Raw genomic sequence first — 20,872 nt, forward strand, 5'->3', positions numbered from 1 at the left:
AGGTTCATCTAAATATAGGATCTGAAAATTTTTTTCTATAAATGCCAGAAAGTGAATATTTTAGGTTTTACAGGCCACACAATCTCTGTAAAAAGTACTCAATTTTGCCATTGTAGCATAAAGGCAGCTATAGACAAATACATAAATAAGTGAGTAGGGCTGTGTTCCAATAAAACGTTATTTTCAAAAACTGATACTGCTGGACTTGGCTCACTGGCTGTAGTTTGCCAAACCCTAATTTATCGAAATATACAACCAACGTAAACATATCAATAAGTCTTCTGGCTTATCCTCAGAAGATGTCTCTTTCTAATTTTCTAAAGAATATATCCAAAACAACCCCAAACAAACATGTAAAATTAATAGTTTCATTCTCTACCCTTGAATTATGTTTTCCAAAAGTCTCAAATCAATTTGGCAGACCCAGCACAAGTACTTGGGTCCCCTCCTTCATAATACCTCATTAAACTGAGATTATTAAAAGAAATATGCACATCACAGTGAAGTTAACCATCAGCGGCCAACTGATTTCCACTAAACCTTTAGAGTAGAAAAGTGGATGGTAACCTGTTGATGACTAACATGAATAAAATACTCCCAGAACATAAAACAGAGCATTGCAGCCAAGAAGAAAACTGACTCAGTCCAAGTATGAAGGTAAAGAATGTTAGCAGAATGAGAAAGAGGTGTCCAAAAAGCTGAGAAGCAATTGGAGACCTTTGTTTGGAACTATCAGTCCCATTGGGTCTCCAAACTCACCACCATCCTGTCCTCTTCCCTCCAACCCATGCACGATGTATTTTATTATCGGGATGAAAGAAGCAAACAAATAGATAAACAACAACAATAACAACAAAATCTTCAGACATTTTAAATAAAGACATTTAAATATAATTACCAATGAAGAACTAGCCTTCTAAAGAGGGCTTAAGGAGCCCAGAAAAGAAAGGCCTTTTTTATTCTGAGAGGGGGGGCACCCCACCACTTGGGTTAGCTTTCTGCTTACTAACCCTAAAATAAAACATGTCTGCTGAAATCCCAGAAACATATCCAGACCTTTTATTTACTCTTAGTAGATTGTAAAAGATAACCACACGAGATATGATAAAGATAACTACATGTGCTAACAAAAAATGAGAAAACTACCACAAAAATTCAAACCAGTATGCACTTTAAAATATGAATGGATCACAAAAGGTCATCATTCAGTCTTAGAATGAAAACCACTGACAGGAGGGGAATAAAAGACCACAGTAAATTAAATAAAAGATAAAAAATAGCATTAAAAATAAATACTTTGTAGATAAAAAAAGTCATTACTATTCTTGGAGAGAGGTAAGGAAATATAGACTATATAAATCAATAATAGGATGGCATCACTTTAGGAGGCCAAGAAAGGAAGATCACTTGAGGCTAGGAGTTTGAGACCAGCCTGAGCAACATAGCAAGACCCCATTTCTGCAAAAAAAAAAAAAAAGAAAAAAATTAGCCAGGCATGGTGGCACACCCCTGTCATCTCAGCTACTCAGGAGGCTTAAGTGGGAAAGTCACTTGAGCCCAGGAGTTCGAGGTTAGACAGTGAGCTCTGGTCACACCACTGCACTCCAGCCAGGACAACAGAGTGAGACACTGCCTCTATAAAAAAAGCAAACAAACAAAAACCCACAAAGGGCCACAAAGGATAGGATGATATAACAACAGGATAATCAGAAAAATAATTACCTGACCATATCAGCTTTAAATGTAAATGATCTACACATACCAATTAAAAGGCAGATATTATCACATTGGATTAAAAAAAGCAACTGTGTGTACCTATGAGACCCAACTGTATGCACCTACAGGAAATGTACTCTAAAATAAAGACACATATAGCTTCTTAGTAAATGGATAGAGGCTGGTATAGTGGCTCATGCCTGTAATCCCAGCACTTTGGGAGGCTGAGGCAGGTAGATCACCTGAGGTCAGGAGTTTGAGACCAATCTGGCCAACATGGTGAAACACTGTCTCTACTAAAAATATAAAAATTAGCTGGGCATGGTGGCACACGCCTGTAGTCCCAGCTACTCAGGAGGCTGAGGTAGGAGAAGCGCTCAAACCCAGGAGGCGAAGGATGCAGTGAGTTGAGATTGCAACACCGCACTCCAGCCTGGGTGACAGAATGAGGCTCTGTCTCAAAAAAAAAAAAAAAAAGGAATGGATAGAAAAATATATATCATACTAACACTAAGCAAAGGAGAGCTGAAGTGGTCATATCAGTATTAGACATTGTACAATTCAGAGCAAAGAAAATTGGCAAAGATAAAGAAGGGCATTTTGTAATATTAAATAAGTCATTAAGAGGATATAATAATGCTAAATGTAAAGCACCTGGTAATAGGACTTCAGAATACATGAAACAAAACCTAATAGAAATGCAATAAGAAATAGCCAAATGAACAATTATAGGCAGAGATTTCAATACAACTCTCTCAATAATCACAAAGATAAGTTGACGGAAAATCAATAAGGATATAGAAAACTTGAGCAATACTATCACCTAAGGTGATCAAATAGACATTTATAGAACACTCCATCCAACAACAGAATATACATTCTTCTCAAGGGCTCATGAAACATGACCAAGATAGACCACATTCTGAGCCACAAGACAAACCTTGATCCTGTATGTATGTTCTCTGACCAAGATGGAACCAAATTAGAAAGATCTGGAAAATGACCAAATATTTGTTAACTACTTAAAACCAATTCAAAATAACTGGTAGATCAATGAAGATTTCAAAAGGTGAATTGGGAAATATTTTGAACAGCGTAAAAATGACGATACAACAAACAAAAATGTGTGGGATGCCACTAAAGTAGTACTTAGAGTGGTATTTATAGTCCTGAGTATCTATATTAAAAAGGGAGAGAAGTCCCAAATCAATGTCCTCTGCTTATACCTTAAGAAACTAGAAAAAGAAGAGCAAAATAAATTCAAATTTAAAAGGAAATAACTTAATGAAATAGAATATAAAAAAATAGAAAAATCAATAAAACCAAAATCTTTTTTTTGAAAAAATAAGTAAAATGCTAAACCTCTAGCCAGACTAATCAGAATAAAAAGAGATAAGATACAGATCACAACATTAAGAATGAAAGTAGTAATATCATTACATATTTTATAGATATTTAAAGGATAATCAGGGAATCTTACGAACAACTTCACACCAATAAATTCAACAACTTCAATTAAATGGAAAGATTCCCTGAGAACTACAAACTAGCAAAGCTTATTCAAGAAGAAACAGATTACTTAAGTAGTCTTTCAGCAGTTTAAAAATCTTCAGTTTTGATTCTTGGGCAAGATGGCTGAATAGAAACAGCTCTGGTCTGCGGCTCCCAGCGAGACCAACGCAGAAAGCGGGTGATTTCTGCATTTCCAACTGAGGTACCTGGTTCATCTCATTGGGACTGGTTAGACAGTGGGTGCAGTCCATACAGGGCAAGCAGAAACAGGGTGGGGCATCACCTCACCCGGGAAGTGCAAGGGGTCGGGGAAGTTTCTCCCCTAGCCAAGGGAAGCCATGAGGAACCGTGCCTGTTGCAAAGGATGGTGCTATCTGGCCCAGATACTAACTATGCTTTTCCCACAGTCTTCGCAACCCACAGAGCAGGAGATGCCCTCGGGTGCTTACACCTCCAGGGCCCTGGGTGTCAAGCACAAAACTGGGCAGCCGTTTGGGCAGACACCAAGCTAGCTGCAGGAGTTTATTTTCATACCCCAGTGGCACCTGGAACACCAGTGAGACAGAACGGTTTGCTCCCCTGGAAAGCAGGCTGAAGCCAGGGAGCCAAGTGGTTTTGCTCAGCAGATCCCACCCCCAAGGAGCCCAGCAAGCTAAGATCCACTGGCTTGAAATTCTTGCGCTAGCACAGCACTCTGAAGTTGACCTAGGATGCTCCTGTTTGGTGGGGGGAGGGGCATCTGCCATTACTGAGGCTTGAGTAAGCTGTTTTCCCCTTACAGTGTAAACAAAGCCGCTGGGCAATTTGGACTGGGCAGAGCCCACAGCAGTGCCTCAACGCTGCTGTAGTCAGACTGCCTCTATAGATTCCTCCTCTCTGGGCATGACATCTCTGAAAGAAAGGCAGCAGCCCCAGTCAGGGGCTTATAAAACTCCCATCTCCCTGGGACAGAGCACCTGAGGGAAGGGGTGGCTGTGGGCACAGCTTCAGCAGACTTAAACGTTCCTGCCTGCTGGCTCTGAAGAGAGCAGCGGATCTCCCAGCACAGTGCTTGAGCTCTGCTAAGGAACAGACTGCCTTCTCAAGTGGGTTGCTGACCCCTGTGCCTCCTAATGGGGAGACACCTCCCAGCAGGGGTTGACAGACACCTCATACAGGAGAGCTCTGGCTGGCATCTGGAGGCTTCCCTTCTGGGATGAAGCTTCCAGAGGAAGGAACAGGCAGCAATCTTTGCTGTTCTGCAGCCTCTGCTGGTGATAGCAGGGCAAACAGCGTCTGGAGTGGACCCCCAGCAAACTTCAGCGGAACTGCAGAAGAGGGGCCTGACTGTTAGAAGGAAAACTAACGAACAGAAAGCAGTAACATCAACATCAACAAAAAGGACGACCATGCAAAAACTGCATCCAAAGATCACCAACAGAAAAGACCAAAGGTAGATAAATCCACAAAGATGAGGAAAAACCAGCGCAACAAGGCTGAAAATTCCAAAACCAGAATGCCTCTTCTCCTCCAAAGGATCACAACTCCATGCCAGCAAGGGAACAAAACTGGACAGAGAATGAGTTTGACGAATTGACATAAGTAGGCTTCTGAAGGTTGGTAATAACAAACTCCTTTGAGCTAAAGGAGCATATTCTAACCCAATGCAAGGAAGCTAAGGACGTTGATAAAAGGTTAGAGGAATTGCTAACTAGAATAACCAGTTTAGAGAAGAACATAAATGACCTGATGGAGCTGAAAAATACAGCACAAGAACTTTGTGAAGCATGTACAAGTATCAATAGCCAAATTGATCAAGCAGAAGAAAGGATATCAGAGATTGAAAATCAACTTAATGAAATAAAGTGTGAAGATTAGAGAAGAAAAGAAGGAAAAGGAATGAACAAAGCCTCCAAGAAATATGAAACTATGTGAAAAGACCAAATCTACATTTGATTATGTGCCTGAAAGTGATGGGGAGAATGGAACCAAGTTGGAAAACACACTTCAGGACACTATCCAGGAGAACTTCCCCAACCTAGCAAGACAGGCCAACATCCAAATTCAGGAAATATGGAGAATACCACAAAGATACTCCTTGAGAAGAGCAACCCCAAGACACATAATCGTCCAATTCACCAAGGCTGAAATGAAGGAAAAAATGTTAAGAGCAGCCAGAGAGAAAGGTCAGGTTAGCCACAAAGGGAAGCCTATAAGACTAACAGTGGATCTCTTGGCAGAAATCCTACAAGCCAGAAGAGAGTGGGGACCAATATTCGACATTCTTAAAGAAAAGAATTTTCAACCCACAATTTCATATCCAGCCAAACTAAGCTTCATAAGTGAAGGAGAAATAAAATCCTTTACAGACAAGCAAATGCTGAGGGATTTTGTAGCCACCAGGCAGCCTACCTTACAAGAGCTCCTGAAGGAAGCACTAAATATGGAAGGGAAAAACCGGTACCAGCCACTGCAAAACAAACCAAAATGTAAAGGCCATCAACACTATGAAGAAACTGTATCAACTAATGGGCAAAATAACCAGCGAGCATCATAATGACAGGATGGAATTCACACACAACAATATTAACCTTAAATGGAAACAGACTAAATGCCCCAATTAACAGGCACAGATTGGCAAATTGGATAAAGAGTCAAGATCCATCAGTGTGCTGTATTCAGGAGACCCATCTCACATGCAAAGACACACACAGGCTCAAAATAAAGAAATGGAGGAAGATTTACCAATCAAATGGAAAACAAAATAAAGCAGGGGTTGCAATCCTAGTCTCTTATAAAACAGACTTTAAACCAACAGAGATCAAAAGAGACAAAGAAGGCCATTACATAATGGTAAAGCGATCAATGCAACAACAAGAGCTAACTATCCTAAATATATATGCACCCAATACAGGAGCATCCAGATTCATAAAACAAGTTTGTAGAGACCTACAAAGAAACTTAGACTCCCACATAATAATAGTGGGAGACTTTTAACACCCCACTGTCAATATTAGATCAATGAGACAGAAAATTAGTAAGGATATTCAGGACTTGAACTCAGCTCTGGACCAAGTGGACCTAATAGACATCTACAGAACTCTCCACCCCAAATCAACAGAATATACATTCTTTTCAGCACCACATAGCACTTATTCTAAAATCAACCATGTAATTGGAAGTAAAACACTTCTCAGCAAATGCAATAGAACAAAAATCATAACAAACAGTCTCTTGGACCACAGTGCAATCAAATTAGAACTCAGGAATAAGAAACTCACTCAAAACTGCATGACTACATGGAACGAACAACCTGCTCTGAATGACTAATGGGTAAATAACAAAATTAAGGCAGAAATGAATAAGTTATTTGAAATCAATGAGAACAAAGACACAATGTACCAGAATCTCTGGGGCACAGCTAAAGCAGTGTTTAGAGGGAAATTTATAGCACTAAATGCCCACAGGAGAAAGCGGAAAAGATCTAAAATCAACACCTTAACATCACAATTAAAAGAACTAAAGAAGCTAGAGCAAACAAATTCAAAAGCTAGCAGAAGACAAGAAATAACTAAGATCAGAGCAGAACTGAAGGAGATAGAGATATGAAAAACCCTTTAAAAAATCAGTGAATCCAGGAGTTGGTTTTTTGACAAGATTAACAAAATAGATAGACCACTAGCCAGAGAAAAGAGAGAAAAAGATGAAAAGAAGAGAAGAAAAAAAAAAAAAGAGTAGGAAAAAAAGAGAGAAGAATCAAATAGACACAATAAAAAATGATAAATGGGAAATCACCACTGATCCCACAGAAATACAAACTGCCATCAGAGAATACTGTAAATACCTCTATGTAAATAAAGTAGAAAATCTCGAAGAAATGGATAAATTCCTGGACACATACATCCTCCTAAGACTAAACCAGGAAGAAGTCGAATCCCTGAATAGACCAATAACAAGTGAAATTGAGGCAGTAATTAATAGCCTAGCAACCAAAAAAAGCCCAGGACCAGAGAGATTCACAGCCAAATTCTACCAGAGGTACAAAGAGGAGATGGTACCATTCCTTCTGAATCTATTCCAAACAACAGAAAAAGAAAGACTACTCCCTAACTCATTTTATGAGGCCAGCATCATCCGGATACCAAACCTGGAAGAGACACACACACAAAAAGAAAATTTCAGGCCAACATCCCTGATGAACTTTGATATGAAAATCCTCAATGAAATACTGGCAAACAAAATCCAGCTGCACATCAAAAAGCGTATCTATCCCAATCAAGTCAGCTTCATCCCTAGGATGCAAGGCTGGTTCAACATATGCAAATCAATAAATGTAATTCATCACATAAACAGAACCAGTGACAAAAACCACATGATTGTTTCAATAGATGCAGAAAAGGCCTTTGATAAAATTCAACACCCCTTCATGCTGAAAACACTCAATAAACTAGATATTGATGGAATATCTCTCAAAATAATAAGAGCTATTTATGACAAACCCACATTCAATACCATACCTAATGGACAAAAGCTGGATGCATTCCCTTTGAAAACCGGCACAAGTCAAGGATGCCCTCTCTCACCACTCCTATTCAACATAGTATTGGACGTTCTGGCTGGGGCATTCTGTCAAGAGAAAGAAATAAAGCATATTCAAGTAGGAAGAGAGGAAGTCAAATTATCTCTGTTTGCAGATGACATGATTGTGTATTTAGAAAACCCCATCGTCTCAGCCCCAAAACTTTCCTTAAGTTGATAAGCAACTTTGGCAAAGTCTCTGGATACAAAATCAATATGCAAAAATCACAAGCATTCCTGTACACCAATAATAGACAAACAGAGAGCCAAATCATGAGCAACCTCCCATTCACAATTGCTACAAAGATAATAAAATACCTAAAAATACAACTTACGAGGGATGTGAAGGACCTCTTAAAGGAGAACTACAAACCACTGCTCAAGGAAATAAGAGAGGACACAAACAAATGGAAAAACATTCCATGCTCATGGATAGGAAGAATCAATATTGTGAATTTTCATGAATTTCATGAATTTGGCCAAACTGTCCAAAGTAATTTATAGATTCAATGCTATTCCCATCAAGCTACCATTAACTTTCTCCACAGAATTAGAAAAAACTACTTTAAATTTCATATGGAACCAAAAAAGAGCCCGTATAGCCAAGACAATCTTAAGGAAAAAGAACAAAGCTGGAGACATCAGGCTACCTGACTTCAAACTATACTACAAGGCTACAGTGACCAAAACAGCATGGTACTGGTACCAAAACAGATATATAGATCAATGGAATAGAACAGAGGCCTCAGAAATAACACCACACATCTACAACCATCTGATCTTTGGCAAACCTGACAAAAACAAGCAATGGAGAAAGGATTCCCTGTTTAATAAATGGTGTTGGGAAAACTGACTAGCCATAAGCAGAAAACTGAAACTGGACTCCTTCCTTACACCTTATACAAAAATTAACTCAAGATGGATTGACGATTTAAATGTAAGACCTAAAACCATAAAAACCCTAGAAGAAAACCTAGGCAGTACCATTTAGGACATAGGCATGGGCAAAGAATTCATGACTTAAACAACGAATTTAGAACAATGGCAACAAAAGCCAAAATTGACAAATGGAACCTAATTAAACTAAAGAGCTTCTGCCCAGCAAAAGAAACTATCATCAGAGTGAACAGGCAACCTACAGAATTGGGAGAAAATTTTTGAATCTATCCATCTGACAAAGGGCTAATATCAAGAATCTACAAGGAACTTACAAGAAATTTACAAGAAATTTCTTTAAGAAAACTTAAAGAAATTTACAAGAAAAAAACAAAGAACTCCATCAAAAAGTGGGTGAAGGATATGAACAGACACTTTTCAAAAGAAGATATTTATGCGGCCAATAAACATGTGAGAAAAAGTTCATCATCACTGGTCATTAGAGAAATGCAAATCAAAACCAAAATGAGATACCATCTCATGCCAGTTAGAATGGTGATCATTAAAAAGTTAGGAAACAACAGATACTGGAGAGGATGTGGAGAAATAGGAAAGATTTTACACTGTTGGTGGGAGTGTAAATTAGTTCAACCATTGTGGAAGACAGTGTGGTGACTCCTCAAGGATCTAGAACTAGAAATACCATTTGACCCAGCAATCCCATTACTGGGTATATACTCAAAGGATTATAAATCATTCTGCTATAAAGACACATGCACATGTATGTTTATTGCAGCACAATTCACAATAGCAAAGACTTGGAACCAACCCAAATGCCCATTATTGTTAGACTGGGTAAAGAAAATGTGGCACATATGCACCATGGAATACTATGCAGCCATAAAAAACATGAGTTCATGTCCTTTGCAGGGACATGGATGAAGCTGGAAAACATCATTCTCAGCAAACTAACACGGGAACAGAAAACCAAACACTGCATGTTGTCACTCATAAGTGGGACTTGAACAATGAGAACACATGGACACAGGGAGGAGAACATCACACACCAGGGCCTGTCAGGGGATGGGGGGCTAGTGGAGGGATAGCATTAGGAGAAATACCTAACGTAGATGATGGGTTGATAGGTGCAGCAAATCACCATGGCACGTGTGTACCTATGTAACAAACCTGCTCGTACTGCACATGTATCCCAGAACTTAAAGTATATATATATATAAAATGTATGTATGTATGTATATATATGTATACATTCAAAAACCAATCAATATAATTCATCACATGAAAAAAAGAAAAACAGCTTTATCATCAACTCATTAGGAGTAGAAGCATTTGAAAAAATCTAATATGCATTCCTGATGAAATGCACTCAGAAAACTAAGACAAGAAGGGAACTTTGTCAATCTGATGAAGGGCGTGTATGAAAACCTACAGCAAACACTAACTTCATTGTGGGAGACTAAATGCTTTCTCTGTCACGTCAGGAACCAGGCCAGAACATTATTGCCATTTCTATTCAGCATTGTACTGGAGGTTCTTGCTGATGAAATAAAGCAAGAAACAGAAATAAAAGGCATCCAGACTGGCAAGAAAAAAGTAAAATTCTCTTTATTTAGAGACAGCAATACTGTCTATGTAAAAAATCTGAGGGAGTCACTTTAAAGAGCTACTAGAACTAATTAGTGAGTTTAGTACTATTTCAAAATACAGGTCAATATACAAAAGTCAACTGCATTTCTACATACCAGCAACAATGAGAAATTGAAATTTAAAAATTAGCATTTACAGTAACACCCCTAAATATAAAATAATAGGAATAAATCTGACAAAAGGTATACAAGGTCTCTACACTGGAAACTGAAAACTGGCAGGGCGCGGTGGCTCACGCCTATAATCCCAGCACTTTGGGAGGCCAAGGCGGGCAGATCACCTGAGGTCGGGAGTTCACGACTAGCCTGACCAACATGGAGAAACCCTGTCTCTATTAAAAACACAAAATTAGCTGGGTGTGGTGGTGCATGCCTGTAATCCCAACTACTTGGGAGGCTGAGGCAGTAGAATCACTTGAACCCAGGAAGCAGGAGTTGCAGTGAGCCGAGATCACGCCATTGCACTCCAGCCTGGGCAACTAAGAGCGAAACCCCGTCCAGAAAAAAAAAAAAAAAACCCGAAAACTACTGCTGAGAGAAATGTTAAAAGACTTAAGCTAGTGGTTTTCAGTCAGTTTTTGGTTTTTTTTTTTTTTTGCTTCAGGGGACATTTGGCAATGTCTGGAAACATTTTTGGTTGTCACACCTGGGGATGGGGAAAACAAGTTATGCAACTGGAATATGATGAGTAGAGGCCAGGGATGCTGCTGAACAGTTCCCCACAACAAAAAGTTACTCAGTCCAAAATGTCAACGTGCCAAGGCTGAGAAACTCTGGCAATGATGCACAGTGGAGAGGTAAACAGTGTTTATGGGCCAGAAGACTTAACATTGTTAGGGTAGCAATTCTCCACAAATCTATAAATTCAATGCAGTTCCAATCAAATTCCCAGAAGGCTTTTTTTTGTGTGTGTATATTACCAAGCCAGTTCTAAACTTCTTAAGGAAATGAAAAGGTCCTAAAATAGCTGAAACTCGTTTGAAAAAGAATAACAAATTTGATAAACTAACACTACATGACTTTAAGCCTTATTATAAAACCACAGGTTAAGACAGTGTGACATTGACTGCAACATAGCCATGTGGAACAGGAGAGTCTAGATATGAACCAACATATGTATACAGACAATTGATTTTCAGCAAGGATGCAAAGTCAACTCAGCAGGGAAAGGATAGTTTTTTCTTATTTAACAAATGGTGTTTAACAATTGGGTATGCATATGTAGAAAATGAACTTTCATTTATATCTCACAGTATATGCAAATGTTAACTCAAAATGTATCATAAGTCTAAATGTGATACCTAAAGCTATAAAGCTTCTAGAAAAAAATATAAGGAAAATTCTTGAGGACCTTTGGTCAGGAAAAGATTTCTTAAATACAATACCAAATGCATAACCCATAAGAGAAAAATAATTTGGGCTTCATCAAAATTAAAACCTTATACTCTCTGAAAAACTGCTGAGAGAATAAAAGAGAAGCCAAGGAATAGGAGGGAAAAGTTACAAAGCGAAGCATATATCTTATAATGGATTTGTATCCAAAATATGTGAAGAACTCTCAAAACACAATAAGAAACAAACCAATTAAAATGGACAGAAGATGTAAACAGGCAAGTAAACATAAGGAAAGATGCTTAATATCATTAATTAATAATAAAATACCAATTGTAACTAAAAGAAATACCACTACACAACTCTTAGAATGGCTAAAATTTGAAAGATTGACCACACCAAGTATTGGAGAATATGTGGAGGAATTGAAATTCTCAAACACAAATGGTAAAATGTGCAATGGTGAAACTAGTTTGAAAAACAGTTTGGTAGTTTCATAAAAAGTTAAACATATACCACCATAAGATCCTTTCTTGTGTCTTTAGCCAAGAAAAATGAAAGCATTTCACTTTTCGGCCTTTTAGCTAAGATCAAGTGAAAAATGAAAGCACAGAAGTATGCAAAGACTTGTGCATGGATGTTCATAGCAGCTTTATATTCAAGAGTCAAAAAGTAGAAACAACCCAAATGTCTATCAACAGGTGAATGGATAACAAATTGTTGTGTAGTCATACAATGCATACAACTCGGTGATAAAACTGAGCTGCTGATCACACAACAACATGGATGAATCTTATATACCTATGCTGAGTCAAAGGGTAGAGAAAAAAGAGTGTGTACTATTTGATTTCATTTATATAAGATTTTAGAAAATGCAAACTTATCCCTAGTGTATCAATTGTTGAAAGCACATTTGTTGTTGCTTGGAGACAGGATTGGAAGGCTTAGAGTGGGGTGGAGATATTATAAAGTGATGCTAGTAAAATTTTGGTGGGGACGAATGTTTTCTATTTTGATTGTGAAGATTGTTTCATGATGTCAAAGTTTATTAAATTACACACTTTAAATATGTGCGGTTTTTGTGTGTCATTTATAATTTAAAAATGCCATTTAGAAAATAAAATAGAATTGTTGAAAGATAAAAACAATTTCCCAGAAAACATAGCTAACAGACAAAAAAAAAAATCTAGAACAGGACAGAAAGACTATATATTAAGAATCAAACCATTAAGTGCAAAATCAGACTAGTAAGAGGCAGAAGAAATTTTCTAAAAAGTAATAGAAGAAAAATGTTTAGAGCTAAGAGATGCAGATCTTTAGGATGAGAGTTTCGCTCAGGATCCAACACCATAAACAAAAGATTCATACTAAATTCACCTTTATGAAATACCAGAAAAACCTCACTTGGCCAGGGTTGGTTGGGTGGGGATAGTGAGGAAGTGAGAAGTTGGGGGTGAGTAACCTATAAGCAAATAGGATCATCTGACATCAAGCCTGTTATCAGCATCATTGAATGATAAAATACAATGGTGCAAGGATTTCAAAGTTCTAGGGAGATTACTTTCCAACACACAAGTCAATACCTTGCTAACTACCAATTAAACATGAAGGACCAAAGGAAGAGTCAAGAGACGCATGAAGCCTCAAAACCTCCGGTCACCTATGCTCTTCCTGAGACATTAACTGAAGATGAAATTAGGCAAAATGGGGACAAAACCAGAAAAAAGGAAAAACATGAACGATATTTAAAAATTACGGAATATAGGAGTTTAGTGAAAATAAATCACGGGATGAGATTTATAACGAGGAATTAGTTTGCAACAATCCTAATTTGTACGGGAAGTTAGTCAATGCCAAGAAGAATATTTTCATGAAGGAAAATGGAAAAGGTTCCCAATAATAAATTTAATGACTGAAGTGGTGGTAATATTATGCACACAGTCAAGAAAGCACATACGTCTCTCTTCATTAAAAAAGAATGCAAATTAGAAACCCCAGAATAGATATTTGTGGGTGACAGAGTGAAATGAAACCTAAGAAGGTCTTGATGCAAACATAAATGTCATGTGGTTTGGATCAACTGAAGGAATGTAAGAAAAATAATTCATTTGACTTCAATCTTAGGAATATAGCCCAAAGTTGAGACATTGGACTTCTAAAGGTGAGAAAGAAACCCAAGCAAACTGCTTAGCTCTGCTTTCAATAATATTTATATAATCTTAATAACATCACAGTTGTTAATTTGTTTGTAACTTTTAGAGTTTATTTATAAGTAAACCCCTCAAGGCTGAAGTATAGTTAGAGTGCCAAATGTAAAAGTTCTGGATCTTGACAACGAAGTAACAGCTGATAGAACATCTCTTTTTTCACATGCCATCAACAAATTCCACTTTCCAGGCTAAAAGCACTACAGTATTTCTGTTCTTCTTCTTCTTCTAATGTTTATCTTTACACATTCAAACAAAATACTAAACCTTGAACCATACTTACATAGTACAGCTCAATAATGTGGGTTGTTGTTAGTTTTCAACTTTTAGGATCAATCTGTAAACATAATATTAAATACTGAAATATAATTTTATGATCTCAGTGTAAATGCTTTCCACCTAGATAATGTAAAACTATAGTTACAGCAAACAGAAGGTGGGAGGTGGAAAAGAGAAAGAGAAACACATGGAAGGATGGGGGCATTGTATCTTTATCTAAAAAAATGGGAAGTCAAGAGACAAATTCCCATATCTAGTGAAATAAGAAATGGAGATGCAGGTTATGAAGACATTTTCCTAAAACCAGCTGGTTATGAGAGCCACTAACTAGTTTCCTATTTGGTTTCAAGATGCACAGACCCACACCCACACCCAACTTGCCATTTCAATGAATTGCATTTTACTTACAAGTACCCTCTACATTGCTTGCCTGTTGATTCTAACTGGAACTTGTTTCTATAAAAGCCAAGGGCCATGAAGCACAAGTCCCTCTAATGCCAGGAGTACCTCAATCAATAACCATTACTGGTTTAGCAACATGGGGCTGCGTGTCCTACCTTAAAAATGGTATCACAGGTTCCAAAGAGTCTGTCTTCTTTGAAGAATAATGTTCCCATTCATAGGAGGGCTCATAAACCCTATCCTTTAGAAGCCAGTAAAAAGGAAGTTAGAGCAGAAATTGTAAGACGGTGTCACACGTGGGTGTGAGCAGGGCAGTGATGAGACAGGAGTGAGGAGGCTGTGCAGACATGGTCTGGGTATCACTGGGCCCCACATGCAGGGAGGCTTCCTCCACCAATTAAAAGAAGAATACTCTTTAAAGAAAAAGCTTTTAGAAATCCAGTCAGTATTTGAAAATCCTTTCTTCTGTGGTTATGGTAATTTAAGATTGTCCCCTGGGATGGATAAGGTTTTAACCTAGTGAAATGGGTGAGAACTGTCCCCATTCGTGATGTTCCAGCCTTAGACGAAGAATTAGTGTGGAATATGTCCAAGTTGGGGTCCCCAAGTAGACCAGAAATGTAAAAAACTTGTCCAAACAATGGAAAAAAAGAATGAAAACAGGACCTGTAAAGAATTCCCAAAGAATCTGCATTATTTTGCTTAACAGTTAGGAAATTTGGAGGTAAGCCTGAGGACATTTTGTGAGACTTAAACCACCATTGGGGAACCTTCCTTTTAAGGTGTTTGCAGGTGAACCAACAGCTTCTCTGGAGGCCTAGAAATATATTTCTCAATAAAAGTTCTACCTAAAGTGTCCAAGGATCTGAATTAATTAATTAATTAGTTCTGAGACATTGCTTGGTACTTTCTCACTGGAGAAAAAAAACAAAGAAATTGCCTAAAGAACTCAAGATAAGGATCAATACCACCTTGGCCAGAGCTTATAGGTAGGGTGGCTCCCTGACTTTTAATATAAAAATATTACTTGCTTAAAATACCTATTTGAAGACAGGGACAAGTTAGATCTCTGTGTGTCTAGTTGTCCTTTGAAGTTGAGGATAAATTGTGATTTTCGTTTTTTTAAGTCATAGTTCAATTGATCTCACATGCAGTCAACTTCGGGCTTATTTTTTTTTACTTTCAGCATAACCCAAAAGGGCATGTGCAAGAATGACTAGAATTAAAATAACCACACCATCTTCACAAGATAGCCAAGGAAGAAAAAAAAATCAGTCTTCACATTTAGGTCAGTTACTCCTTTTTTAATAAATTTGAATTCATTCATCAACAAGTTTCATATTGTATCTATCACTCAATTTTGCTGTTTTTTCATGTCAAATAATACCAAAAAATTACATCAATGTGCTTAAGCAAAACTGGGTTTAAATTTATCTTTACAATAAAATGAAATCAACATGAGAATTGATTATGACAGCAATCGCCTATTCCTACTAGAATAATCCTGTACTTACCTTAAACACACTCACTGACTTGTGAAGTAGAAACATGAGACAAACGTGACAAAACATGTTCATGGGGTTGGTCCTAGGGAGAGGCATACGGGAGCCACTCTCTGGAAGGTCATTGTTTACCCAGGTGTTGGGAATTTAGTATTTCAGGAAAACATGGCGCCTTTCAATGCAGTAGAAGAGGTAATCAATCCAAGGCACACTAGCTAGTGTCCTGGAAAAATTTAATTCACCTGGGCAGTTCTTTGCCCCAAGATTCGATGTTACTCTAATGGCTCACACTGACAGCCAGAGTCAATTCCAAGAGTAACAAAATGTTTCACCAATTGTTCAGTTTTGCTTACATAAAATGGCCAGAAATATGAACTGGTTTTCAGGTGGAGAGTTAAAATAAGAATTAAGTGATGGTTTATACTTTCAAGCCAGGAGATTCAAAGTTGGACACATTCTTGTTAGAATACACCAATGGTGGGACAAACACCAATGGATTATCTACTAGATGCTGAAAATGAACACCTACAACTGCAATGTGCCTGTCCCCTTAAAACCAGCCCCAGACTCGTTTGGCATCACCTTTGAGATGATCTCCTCAGTAAAAATGTCAACGCTGTGTTTGGACAAGAGAGAAGTGCCTTTCAGGGAGTGACTGAACATGTCAAAGTTCTGGGTGCTGGCGTTAAAAACACAATATTGCAGATGTACAGGTAGCTTCCAAATCTAATGGAAATATTATCATGACATACTTTCTAGTTCGTTTGAGATTCAGGGGAAATGGATGTCGCATGGTATAGACAGTGAAACCCCTCCACAGTCCCGGGGTTGGTGAACAGGAATAACACTTGTTTTAAGGACTACTCAAGTCTATCAGTCTTTCTCTGTAGGGAGTTATGTAGCAGGGCTCTTCCATTATCTCAAGGATATCTGAATATGGGTAATAACAAACTGTCATAACAAGATTCTTCTGTAGATCTTGAGCCCCTGTGGCGCATTTTGGAAAGACAGGACTACTGAGAAAATTAACTCTTTATTACTTTCAATTGTTAAGAAAGAAATCTCATTATATCCCCAATGATAACGTTTCTGTCCTTACTCAAGAGGTCTGGGTGTGGGTAACAGCCACCTCCCAACAACGTCAGAGGTCCGGGTTCAGAATTCCTCAACGCGACTCAGTCACTGGCTCAAATAACTACTGTGGAGTAACGAGAGGTCATTTTAACACAACAGAGACTCCAATTCAACTCTCTTCTGTTAACACAGTCAGAGTTCTCTTCTCAATGCTCTCACAAGTTTTAAAAATGGAGAAGCTATAAAATAATTTTGTTAGAAGAAAAGTAATTTTCTTCTGAAATGGAGTAAAGCAAACACATACCCAAGGATCTTAAAAAGTTTTTTTTTGTTTTTACAGAATATATGTATGTATTTGTGTGTGTGTGTGTGTGTGTGTGTGTAGTTACAAACACTATTTATAGTATAGCTAATATGTTAACTTCATCGCAGTGTCTACAAAGTTGTGGATCCCAGTCTTGGTGCCAAATGCATATAAAAAGCTCAAAAGCTATTATGACTATACCATGCAAATTTATATCCAGAAAACCTTGGGAAGGAGACTGCAGCTCTTTGGAGCCCCATGGGGTCTCTGCCTTTGATATTTGGGTACCTCAACTATGCATCAAAAAAGTTTTAAATCACTTTTCTCCCAGAAAGAATTAATGTCACAGTTCTGAATAGTATAAATTATACACTTAAATAGACCATTGACTGTTTTTGTCCACATCCATTTACATTTTGGGGTCCCTCTTCTGCATGTGGACCTCACACCTTTAATTACTGGATACAGAAAAAGATACCTGAAGTATTGAAAGGGATAAGGTCTTTGCAAATGTATTTTTTTTCTTTAACATGATAATAATGATAAGGCCACTTAACAAGGTTTTTCCCAATCTGTTTAACTTTTAGGATCCCCCATTGTTACCCATGGAAAAAATGGTCAGAGAAAAGCCAAAGCCAAAGAAATCCCTGGCTAGTCTCCAGATGAAAATAAAACCAGAGAGCAGCGATTAGGAGGAAAAAGATAGGAATGAAAGAGGGAAAAGGGTCTAAAAGTAGGTAATTGCCTCTAGCGTGAGATTTTGTGGATTATGTTTTATCTGATGGTGGGTTTTGAACTGTTGCAGATGCCCACAAATTAAAGGTTGTTACGGCCACCAAAGAAAAATCAAGTAGTGGTCAGCTCATGGGGATAGTCCACACCACACGCATCCTCGGGGAGGGTGGTGCCTCTACCTACATCGAGACAACTGGGGCCTACCATTGGAGCACTCTGGTCCTTGGTTTTGGATAGAACAGAGAGGGTGAGGCATACGTGGCATTTTGGGATAAAGTATTAATTTAGCAGTTCTTCCTGCAAATTTTGCTTTTTATTTTTTTCTCCAAATGCTCAACTTCACTGTGACACCTGTTTGCACAACTGTAGTCATTTCAGTTTATGGATGCCTGTGATAGAAATATTGTTTACAAAAAATATATCATCTCTTTTTTTTTTCTTTAGAAAGATCTCATCTAAATAGTAAGTTAAGGTTGCGTCTATGAAACCGGTGCACCTTGTCTTGTTTCTACGAGCTTTAAAAAGTCCAAATACTGATGAGGCTGTGGATCAGAAGGAACCAACAGTGACTGTGTTTGCTGTCAGGTTGCCCTCCTTTGCCTCAGAGAACGGTCATGGGTCGTTGGGTGACGCGTGGTGTGTACGGGTCATGTTCCTGCAGAATCCTAGTCAGTCTAGGAGTAGTTGGATGTGCTTATGAAATATGTCAGATACAGAAATAAAGGCATGAGGATGATTCTTAGTTTCTGAAATTGAACAGTAGAAGTGTTTTAGCTTCAATCTTAATTTCTAGATAACAGAAAGTAGTTACATCACATAAAGGAAAATATGACATCGCATGCTGCCATGATAGCAAGCGTAAGAAACAAAATCTTGGTAAATATACATATATATGCATATTATGCAAATATATTTTCTATTAACATACAATGTTATAAGAATGATAACATAACTGCAAGGGGGAAAATCATCCTAGATGGTTTTACCTTAGAGTAACGAATAACCTGAGACGTCTATGCTTTCTGTTGGATATCAGGCCTAGAAATCCATACGAGATGTAGAGCACATTTTCAGTGATTGAAATGTCACTGGCCAAACGTGTCACTGTGTTCGCACATGACAGTGAAGCTGGATCCACTCCAAGTGAACAACAGAAACAAACTACACACTGTATATTAGAGTACTTACAACGAGATGCCATTCACTCCCGATGAGTTTTCAAAAGACGGTCGTTCAGACATCAACGTGGGATCTATCTATGTTTCAGACAACAGGTAAGCACACTGCCAGTGGCTCACCCCAGCCACTAAACCATTGCAGAAAACGTATGCCCGATGAAAACAAACCCCATCACCAGAGAAGCCAAGAAGCCTTTGCTTACTAAACTGAACGAGAGGATATGAAGTAAGTGACTCATTTTAAACTAGCAATACCACTGTATGAGTTTTCAAAGATTAACTAAGAATGTCTTTCTGATTTTTAAACTAAAACATCTAACTTATGATAATACAAGACACATTTGGGGATGATATTGTGTTTCACGCCCTCATTCTCAAGGCATAATATTTAGATGATACTTGTCCCTTTCAATTAAAAAAGAAAAAAACTATGACTTTCTTTAATATGCATCCTGTGGTAAATTGTCCATAGCTGCAAAATGTATATATGTATGTGTATTTGTCTTCCATACACATGGGCACTGACTCCTGTGTGTATAAACATATACACATACATCCTCATATACACGTGTATTTTATATATATGCTGAGAAAGTTCACATATATATACAATTGCGTATGTATATATGTGTGTGTCTGCTTGTGTGTCTGTGTGTGTACAGGTATAAAAACTTGACAGGCAGAGTAATATTTCACTCAGTGTTAAATGAAGTCTTTGAAAAATCAAGTACAGTCACTCAGTTAACATAGTACAGCCAGTAAACTAAGTTGAAAAGAGAAAAAGTGAATGGAAACACGATCCTGGACCATCTGTCTATGGCATTCACATCGGTTAGATCAGGTATTTTAATTTTGAGCTGTGAAGACCTCCTCCGTAGATGGGTCTTCTTGTGCGGGAGGCTTCTGTCCCCCAGGAATCGCCCATGCCCTTCTCGAGGCATGCTCTGTTTCCTGTACTGGATTCCTGAGTTGTCAAAGGATATTGCTGAATTCCTGGTATCGCCAATGCCGCCTGAGACCTCATTCATTTCATTGTGAACTTCCAGCGATGTCAACAGAATATTTCCATGAGCATCCACCTAATTGGACGGAAAATGCACATGGTTAGACAGCCAGCAGCATAATTTCCCTATGCAGATCCCGGACAGAATGATGTCATGCCATCACATGTTGCATGTTTTACGAGAAACTGTACATCTGTCAAATCCAGCACTCCGTTTTATTGGAAAATGTCATTTTGGAGGTTAATTGCAGTTGAGAGATTTTTATTTCCTTGATCTAAAAATGCTCATGTAAGAGATTAGATGAAATAAGGGGGAGGGGCTTTTTCAAATTGCAATTTCACATTATGGATACAAATCCTTACTGAAAAGATTAAAGTACAAATGATTTTCAAGATGTTAACTTAGGTGCTCTAACCATTTTCACAACTATACTTTGAATAAAAACTATATTCTCCCATTTGTCTTTGGAAGTCATCTTGTTCCCTTTTCTGATGATATAACACACCCAAATTACTACAGAGAAACAC

General features: G+C 38.0%; 1 protein-coding gene across 6 annotated transcripts in view, besides 2 other annotated features; it reads right to left on the minus strand.

The window, feature by feature from the left end:
• Nucleotides 3,694–4,193: an enhancer, noted in NCBI's record as "H3K4me1 hESC enhancer chr15:26776555-26777054 (GRCh37/hg19 assembly coordinates)". NCBI's record gives its function as "activates a minimal SCP1, AML or CMV promoter by ChIP-STARR-seq in naive H9 embryonic stem cells {active_cell/tissue: H9 hESC(naive)}" and the evidence as "EXISTENCE:reporter gene assay evidence [ECO:0000049][PMID:30033119]".
• Nucleotides 15,838–20,872, minus strand: part of GABRB3 (gamma-aminobutyric acid type A receptor subunit beta3) — a 230,212-nt gene continuing 225,177 nt past the window's right edge. For all 6 annotated transcript variants that reach the window (NM_021912.5, NM_000814.6, NM_001278631.2 and 3 more), the window contains one exon: nt 15,838–20,420. In NM_021912.5, coding sequence (NP_068712.1) covers nt 20,079–20,420 — 342 coding nt within the window. In that variant the 3' untranslated portion in view covers nt 15,838–20,078. The remainder of the gene's footprint in view (nt 20,421–20,872) is intronic.
• Nucleotides 18,554–19,753: an enhancer, noted in NCBI's record as "CDK7 strongly-dependent group 2 enhancer chr15:26791415-26792614 (GRCh37/hg19 assembly coordinates)". NCBI's record gives its function as "activates an origin of replication core promoter dependent on BRD2, BRD4, P300/CBP, MED14 and CDK7 cofactors, with strong dependence on CDK7, by STARR-seq in HCT116 cells {active_cell/tissue: HCT116}" and the evidence as "EXISTENCE:reporter gene assay evidence [ECO:0000049][PMID:35650434]".

This window comes from Homo sapiens, chromosome 15 (genome assembly GCF_000001405.40).
Source record: "Homo sapiens chromosome 15, GRCh38.p14 Primary Assembly".
NCBI classification, from domain to species: Eukaryota; Metazoa; Chordata; class Mammalia; order Primates; family Hominidae; genus Homo; species Homo sapiens.